The 9,196-nt window shown below is 39.2% G+C and overlaps 1 protein-coding gene across 2 annotated transcripts in view, besides 1 other annotated feature; it reads right to left on the reverse strand.

The window, feature by feature from the left end:
- Positions 1–9,196, reverse strand: part of ZBTB11 (zinc finger and BTB domain containing 11) — a 28,244-nt gene that overhangs the window by 18,096 nt on the left and 952 nt on the right. Inside the window, exons 1-3 of one of the 2 annotated variants that reach the window (XM_011512689.3) lie at positions 8,734–9,175; positions 4,994–5,229; positions 4,146–4,377 (exon numbers count right to left, since the gene is read on the reverse strand). In XM_011512689.3, coding sequence (XP_011510991.1) covers positions 4,146–4,377; positions 4,994–5,229; positions 8,734–8,848 — 583 coding nt within the window. In that variant the 5' untranslated portion in view covers positions 8,849–9,175. Of the gene's footprint in view, positions 1–4,145; positions 4,378–4,993; positions 5,230–8,733; positions 9,176–9,196 lie in introns of those variants that run through there. The other variant, NM_014415.4, reaches the window with a different exon arrangement.
- Positions 6,892–7,392: an enhancer, noted in NCBI's record as "H3K4me1 hESC enhancer chr3:101392720-101393220 (GRCh37/hg19 assembly coordinates)". NCBI's record gives its function as "activates a minimal SCP1, AML or CMV promoter by ChIP-STARR-seq in naive H9 embryonic stem cells {active_cell/tissue: H9 hESC(naive)}" and the evidence as "EXISTENCE:reporter gene assay evidence [ECO:0000049][PMID:30033119]".

The following is a 9,196-nucleotide window of genomic DNA, read 5'->3' on the forward strand; positions in this document are numbered from 1 at the left end:
GTGATAAGCCTGCCTCGGCCTCCCAAAAGTGCTGGGATTACAGGCGTGAGCCACCGCACTCGGCTTTCTTTTTTATTTAGGTACTTTGAGACAGGCCCTTGCTCTGTCATCCAGGCTGAAGCGCAGTGGATTGACCACAGCTCACTGTAACCTTGACCTCCCAGGCTCAAGCAGTCCTTCTGCTTCAGCCACCTAAGTAGCAGGGCAGGCGTGCACCTGGTTATTTTTATATTTTGAAGAGATGGAGGTCTCCCCATGTTGTCTCAGCTGATCTTGACCTCCTGGCCTGAAGGGATACTCCTGCCTTGGCATCTCAAAGTCCTTGGATTACAGGTGTGAGCCACTACACCTAGACGGAGGCAAATATTCTAATTCCGCCTTCTCACACTAGGTGTCATATTACACATACTTTTCTGCACTTTGCTTTTCTAATACAATAATTTATCTTAGAGATTTTTAAATATACAATTGAGAGCCATATTTGCTGTAATTTTCAGTTCTGACTCAAGGTATGTAAAGTGTGGTATTTTATGCAAAAGAACCCACGAAGGATGAACAAACATACAGAGAAGCCTTAAACTTGTGAGATGTTAGGACTCAGGCTGAAAAAAACTGAGGGGACTCCCCACCAACATTATCATTATGGTGAATTCAGCCATTCCTAGGAAAGCTAATTCTTTTTTTTTGTTTGTTTGAGACGGAGTTTCGCTCTTGTTGCCCAGGCTGGAGTGCAATGGCGTGATCTTGGCTCACTGCAACCTCTGCCTCCCATTTGTTGGTAGAAATGTAAATTAGTACACCAGGATGAAAAACACTATAGAAGTGCCTCAAAAAACTAAAAATATAACTACTATATGATCCAGCAATCCCACTACTGGGTATCTACCCAAAGAAAAGAAATTATATCAAAGAGATACCTGCACCCCACGTTTACTGCAGCACTACTCACAATAGCCAAGAAATGAAATCAACCTACATGTTCATCAACAGATGAATGGAAAAAATGTGGTAAATATGCACAGTGGAATACTATTCAGCCATAAAAAAGAATGAAATCCTGTCATTTGCAGCAACATGATAAACCTGGAGGACATCATGCTAAGTAAGTCAAGGACAGAAAGATAAATACCAAATGTCCTCACTCATATGGGGGAGCTAAAAAAAAAAAACTTAGATCATACAAGTAGAGAGAAGAGCTATGGTTATTAGAAGATGGGCAGGGTGACAGGAGGGGAGTATAGGAGGAGGTTGATTAATAGATACAAAATTACAGCTAGATAGATAGAAGGAACAACTTCTAGTGTTCTATAGCACCGCAAGGTATATAGTTAACAACAGTTTATGGTATATGTTAAAAAAGCTACAAGAAGCCTGGCACAGTGGCTCACCCCCTGTAATATCAGTGCTTTGAGAGGGTGAGGCAGGAGGAGTCCAGGAGTTCAAGGCCAGCCTGGGCAACAAAGTGAGACTCCATCTCTATAAACAAATGAAAAAATTAGTTGGACAAGGTGGTGTGCACCTGTGGTCCCACCTACACGGGAGGCCAAAGCAGGAAAATTGCTTGAGCCCAAAAGTTGCTTGAGCCTATGACTGCACCACTGCACTCTAGCCTAGGGTGACAGAATAAGATTCTGTCAAAAAAAAAAAAAAAGGGCTGAAAGAATTTTGAATGTTTTCAACACAAAGAAAGGTGAATGTTTGAGGTGATAGGTATATCCTAATTACCCTCATTTGATCATTACTAATTGTATACATGTACCAAAATATCATTTTGTACACCATAAATATGTACAACTATTACATGTCAACTAAAAATAAAAGGAGCGAGCCTCTCTGAGCCTATTCTGTTTCAGGGACTATCTGAAAATAAATAAAAGGGAAAAATCATTAAGAGGGCAAATTTTGTTTTTTTTTTACAATTTGAAAACTTTATAAAAATATCCTCTCAAATGAAATGGACAATTATAACAGAAGGAAAAATTATGGTGAGGACTTCAAAATCCAGGGGTACGGCAGACTAAGATACCGTAAATGACACACTTATGATAAAATTTTTTTTTGTGGCTAAGACAGGGTCTTGCTCTGTTGCCCAGGCTGGAGTGCAGTGGTGTGGTCTCAGCTCACTGCAACCTCCGCCTCCTGGGATCAAGTGATCCTCCTACCTCAGCCTCCAAAGTAGCTGGGACTACAGGCATGTGACACCATGCCTGGCTAATTTTTGTAAATTTTGGTAGCCACAGGGTTTCACCATGTTGTCCGGGATGGTCTCGAACTTCTGAGCTCAAGCAATCCACCTGCCTCAAAGCTTTGGGATTACTGGCGTGAGCCACTGTGCCCAGCCTTATCTACTTAATATTTAAATCAAACATATTTTTAAAATAATGCCTATTTCACCTATGATTGGCTTACATAATACTTGCTGAACAATATACAAAAATATGCATATGGAATGAAGACTAAATGATGTATTATGTTGGAATATTAGGATGCTGTGCCATAGTTTTTTTCAGGCAGACATTTCATTTGCTATAAACTGCTGAGAAACCAGAAAAGAGCAACACTCATGCTTTCAGATGCATGAAATATAGGGAAAAAATTCCAAAGCAAACATATCAAAAGAATAACCTGTGATGGGTTTTTATATTCAGATGGCTCAGTGTAAGACGTATTTTCTCCTTTGAGTCACCAAACCCAGAAAAAAAAAATACCACTAATCTAGAATGTAATGCCAACTCTAAGCTCCAAAAAGTTTTTGCTCATATGTACACCCCCTGAGCCTAGGCTAGTTCTTTGTATGCAGTGGATGCTTAATAAATATTTATTTATATAGAGAAAGCTATTAGTGCTTTTTTTTTTTTTTTGAGACGGAGTTTTGCTCTTGTCACCCAGGCTGGAGTGCAATGGTGTGATCTCAGCTCACCGCAACGTCCACCTCCCAGGTTCAAGCGATTCTCCTGCCTCAGCCTCCCGAGTAGCTGGGATTACAGGCATGCGCCACCGTGCCCAACTAATTTTGCATTTTTAGTAGAGACAGGGTTTCTCCATGTTGATCAGGCTGGTCTCAAACCCATGACCTCAGGTGATCCGCCTGCCTCAGCCTCCCAAAGTGCTGGGATTACAGGCAGGAGCCACTGCGCCTGGCCGTTATTATTGCTTTCTATAAACATAAAGCCACTGCTAAGGAAAAATGTATCTTCCCAGAAGAGGTAGGACTAAAAACAATAAAGCATAAAAGGATAAGTGGTTAAATAATTAAGAATTTACATACCTGGAAAAGTCACTTTTTTGTTTCAAAAAGGAAAAAATATTTCAAAGTGATTTAAGTAATTCAAAAGTTACAGCAAGTTTTATATGATGAGAAAACGTATAAATAATGCTACCTATAATTCTTCCTAAATTTTCATTTGATGACTCATAAGCCAATATATAAATTCTAGTGAAGCCAAAAGAAAGTTGAACTATTTATTTACAATAATGATACAAACAAAAAACAAACCTGGGATTTTGACTTTTCTATATTGATAATTTGATTATTGAACTTAATAAACTCTAAGGATTAATCTTTAAAAACCAAAAGACTTATAAAATACTCTATAATTACATGTCCCACAAAATAAGACATAAACAGTCAATTTTTATTTGCTTTTTATTTTTAGAGGCAGGGTCTTGTTATATTGCCCCGTCTGGAGAGCAGTGGGTATTCACAGGTACAATGACACACCACAGCCTGGAACTCCTGACCTTAAGCAGATCCTCACATCCCAGCCTCCCAAGTAGGTGGGACTACAGGCGGGCACCACCACACCTAGCTTAAACAATCAATTTTTAAATAACATATTCATTTAATGTAATAATTTTGTTGCACTTATGGATTTCACTCAAACTGTTTTTAACAGTTTAAATCCTAGAAATTCTTTTTCTGCTATAATTGTCTCACTTAAGACGTAGTGAAAGGAAATGACACCCTTTTCCATAACTCTACCACAGAAATCTTGCTAAAAAGAACCTTTTCAGTACAGCTTAGTCTACTGTTGTTAGTGGGCTTCTCTTACTTTGGCATAAAGTCCGTGTGTGGAAGACATACATATCCCCCTCTTCTAGAATGTCATTACAAACAAAAAGCAAGAGTAATACAAAACCCTTACCAGAAAGATCCACCACAGCCTCATGACTGGAAACAGCTCCTTTCTCAATAAAAAGATCTCGAAAATACTCGCTATTTGCTGACAAAACAGATTTATGAGCTTTGTACTCTTCTCCTTCAATTAACAAAGTAACATCACAGAACTGGTTGGAAAGTCTCTGTTCGTTCAGCTGTTTTAAGACAGCCTGACAATGTTTTGGAGAAGAACGTTTTACCACTCCTTTGGTGTCAACCTGTCAAAATAAGTTTGAGAGCAAGAGTAACATATTACCTGTATTTTTTACCCTTAACAAGCTTTAAAACAAGACACATTACATATTACCTTTTACCAGGTATGAATAATTTGATATTTTCTTTGTTACCTATGTATTTAAATAAAAAGATATGTTGTCCTATCCTATTTTCTGCCATGTTCATTCTACCTCACCTAATGAAAATCTGTATCTCACTTCTGGCTGCCTCTTCTTACTAATCAGAAATATGATGATGTATGAAACTGATGCAGGTGAAAAACAAAGACCTGGCCAGATTAATTTTACCTTGGGGCGTAAACTCAGAGACTGCTTCCAGAAATGTAAATCTGTCTACTTGTACCAATATATCATCACAAAAGAAGGGAGGGAGGATAATTAACAACAAACCAACAGGTAATTATTAAGTTCATTCTGAAAAAATAACAGGAACATTTATGATAAATGAAGAGGCAGTTCAGCTTATATAACACAGTACACTGCCATTTTGTCTTATTCAATAAGCAGTCTTAGTGGTTTGAGAAAAATAAGTCACCAAGGCTGCAAATACTAGTACACTAGTTACAAATCTTAAAGCTGACTGGAGAGTACCACTTACAAACACAAGTTCATGTTTGGATACTGGCTTCTTTTTTGCAGGCTTGGATGCTGTAGTTGGAGATGAAGTAAAGTTGCTCAGGTCATCTTCCGATTCATTACTTTCTTCTCCAGATTCAAGGTCTAGTCCCAATTCTTCCAACATTTCTGAAACATCTGATATTGGACGGGATCGATCTAGTTTCTCCTGGCATTTGCTACACTGTTTAATGTAATCTTTGACTTGCTTCAATATACCTACAATGAAAATATTAACAAGTCAAATTTAATACTGTTAACTGAAAACAGAATATATTATTTAGTCTGTGCACATTAACACATTTCAGTACATATGTGCAGACATTCATGTCCCATAAAATATGTAGAGTTTATTAGAATGTAAAATATACTTTTTTCCCAAAAAATATAAAGTTATAAATGATGTTCTCCTGCTGAGGTAATTTTTTTTATTTATTCCCAGTTATTTGTTTCTCTAATCATAAGATGACTATATAGCTCCACCCATTTTCATGTGAGTTGCAATGTTTTCATGCAAGAGGAACTATATGAAACTGCCAATATTCACCTTTTTTTGACCTACACAAATTAACAATTTAGGGCATGATGGCGCACGCCTGTAATCCCAGCTACTCTGGAGGCTGAGGCCGGAGACTCACTAATAACCCGGGAGGCGGAGGTTGCAGTGAGCTGAGATTGTGCCACTGCACTCCAGCCTGGGCAACAGACCAAGACTCTGTCTCAAAACAAAACCAAACAAATTAACAATTTAATATGGCTCAAGCTAATACTTCTCCACCCCAGTGACATTAGGCTTGACCGTGTGATTTGATTTGCACACATGTGATGTGTACCATATCTGAACAGAACCTTAAGAGGTACTGAGTATTTTGCACCAGTTCTCTGATCTTTGTCCCCTCTCACAAAGAACAGCAATGTCCCAGAGGGATGTTGTTCTTAAACCTGAATTTCAGATGAAAAAAGCTGAAACCAATCTGTAGCCTGGAACAGGACTACTACAAAACTTGTAATGAAAGTTTAAAATAAATCTTTTGTTTTTGAAAGTTATGAGATTTTAGGGTTGTGTGAAATAAAAGCATACACAATCTAACAAAAGTTGATTATATACAAGCCACTCACAAAAGATTTTGAATTTCAACTTCCAGCTCCCAGCATGCTAGGGTAGGGGTGAGGAGGCAGGGACAAGGCTTTATGTATATGTACACACATCCCACTATCATCCTTGTAAGAGAACAATTAATTCCCATTCTATACAAGAGGAAAATAAAGCCCTAAGAGGTATGTAGCTTGTCCAAAGTCACATCTAGTAAAATGGCAGAGCTAGGCCTCCAGAAGTCATGGGATTTTCGGTATATTATTCTACTTACACAAGAGCACGCTTGTCCATTCCTAGGGCAGAAAGTTACCCCCAAATCTTCAAATAAGTACAAATGAAAAGGTTATGAGGTAAAATGATAGAGGTATGGTATAGAGAATATTCCTGAAAAGTGTTTTAAAATGTCGAATTATACAAAGCTCCTTACACTTTTTTTTTTTTGAAATGGAGTCTCTCTCTGTTGCCCAGGCTGGAGTGCAGTGGTGGGATCCCGGCTCACTGCAACCTCCGCCTCCTGGGTTCAAGTGATACTCCCACCTCAGCCTCCCGAGTAGCTGGGATTACAGGCGCCCGCCACCACACCTGGCTAATTTTTTGTATTTTTAGTAGAGATGGGGTTTCACTATTTTTGCCAGGCTGGTCTCAAACTCCTGACCTCAAGTGATCTGCCCGCCTTGGCCTCCCAAAGTGCTGGGATGACGGGCATGAGCCACCTTGCCTGGCCACCAAGTTCCTTATACTTTCAATCTTCAAATAGTATTCAAGCAATATTTTCCAAATTGTATTATGTCCCACACTGATTATAAAAGTATACACTGAAGTCATAAATTCAGAAAAATTTTAGCTATATGCAATTGACATTTATTATTAGAACCTCTGACTTCTACGGTGAAGAAACCTGTTTAACCTAGGAATTTGTCAAATTTATGGATTCACAGAGACTGTTTTTTTTTTTTTTTGCAGAACATAAACAATGGGGCTTGGGGCGTGGCTCACACACTTTGGGAGGCTGAGGTGGGCGGATCATTTGAGGTAAGAAGTTCGAGACAAGCCTGGCCAACAGAGCAAAACAAAAATTAGCTAGGTGTGGAGGCACGCGCCTGTAGTCCCAGCTACTCCGGAGGCTGAGGCACCAGAATCACGTGAGCCTGGGAGGCGAAGGCTGCAGTGAGCCGAGATCGCGCCACTGTGCTCCGGCCTGGGTGACAGAACAAGACTCTGTCTCAAAGAAAAAAAGAGAAGAAAAGAAAGAAAGGAACAATGGGTTCGAGTTAAATATAACTTTATCAAAAAAGCATTTATATGAGTGTAGATTTAGAGACCAAAAGAGGTTGTATTGGCCGGGCGCTGTGGCTTACACCCGTAATCCCAGCGCTTTGGGAGGTCGAGGTGAGCAGATCATCTGAGCTCAGGAGTTCGAGCCCAGCCTGGCCAACATGGTGAAACCCCGTCGCTACTAAAAATAGAAAAATTAGCTGGGCGTGGTGTAATCCCAGCTACTCTGGAGACTGAGGCACCAGAATCGCTTGAACCCGGGAGGTGGAGTTGCAGTGAGCCGATATCGCGCCACTGCACTCCAGCCTGGGCAACAGAGTGACTCTGTCTCAATAAATAAATAAATAAAATAAATAAATAAATAAATAAACATCGTCTCAGGTTTTTGCCTTTTAAGACACTGCACACTAAAAATTAAAAAAAAAACAACTGGATTAGAATCACTCACAGATAATGAACTTAGAAAAAGAAAAATTCTGAACACAAAATACCACATAACACTGGGTTAAGAAAAGTGTGAGATCACAAAGGTCAGCTGTGTGACTTTTGTTGTGTTATTTAACATCCTAGTGCTTTTAGTTTTTTCATCTGTAAAACAGATAGAGGCTGAAAAGGGAGGATCATCTGAGCCTAGGAGGTCGAGGCTACAGTGAGCTGTGATCGTTGTCACTGCACCAAGCAAGACCCCCTACGCTCTGTCTCCAAAAAAGGGAGATAAGTATTAAGGTTTTATGAAGGTTAAATAAATGTCAAGGGCTAACGACTACATCCTGCATATACAAGCTTGATCAATGTTACCTATAGTTACAATTATCATCTTTAACAAATCCTGAAGTATTAAATCTGAGACATTTGTTCAACAAACTAATGTCTACCCAAACCCATCCAAACAAAATGCACTGATTACTTCATTACCTCATAATTTAATCTTCGCATTTGTCTGTCCTTACAGGAATTTAATTCAGATATTGGTTTAAAGTGGAAAATAAATGGAAGAATTTGATTATCCAATAGTTCGTAAACGAATAAACTTGATGATGTTTATAAACCGAAAAGAACTTTAGAAACTATTCAGTAATTTCGTTATTCACAGACGAAGTAACCAAGATTTGAATGAAATAACTTTTCTGTAGCCATATTGGAGAGTGACAGCACTGTTCCTAACAAAATTTCTTAAATGGGACTATAAACTATTAACTAATTCTGACAGTTTGAATATTCATTAACTGTGGAGAGTGAAGATGGTTAAGAAGCCAAGGACACTTGCTATCCTCCCTTACAACTGGTTCCCAAGGAGTCAAGTAACTTCAGAGCTGTATTTTTTGACAATCAAAAAGTCACAGTAATCGTACCTTTTCTGCGTATATACAATGCTACACAGTTCCCAAACGCGTTTTTCACATCATTAGGGGAAAGATTATTAAAACATTCAGAGTTACGAATATCAAGCTGGGCGCCGTGGCTCATGCCTGAAATCCCAACACTTTGGGAGGCCGAGGCGGGAGGATGGCTTGAGGCCAGATGGAGACCAGCTTGGGGAACGAGGCGAGACCCGTGTCTACTCAAACACCCCGCCCCCGCAAAACCAAACAACAAAAACAGTAACTGATATCTTTTACATTTACTTCTTGTTCTTAAAAAAAAACGCTCAAGGCGATTTCTCAATCACTCCTTATCACTTCTGCAAATAATTGTATTATTCCTTATTTACGCAGCAGCGGCAAAATTTGAGGAACACTAGCGAATGTGTCCAGAGCAGCTCATACTCGCTCGCCAAAACCCAAGCGCAGCACTAAAGAAACGGGAGACCCGGCT

The sequence above is a fragment of the Homo sapiens genome, chromosome 3, assembly GCF_000001405.40.
Source record: "Homo sapiens chromosome 3, GRCh38.p14 Primary Assembly".
NCBI classification, from domain to species: Eukaryota; Metazoa; Chordata; class Mammalia; order Primates; family Hominidae; genus Homo; species Homo sapiens.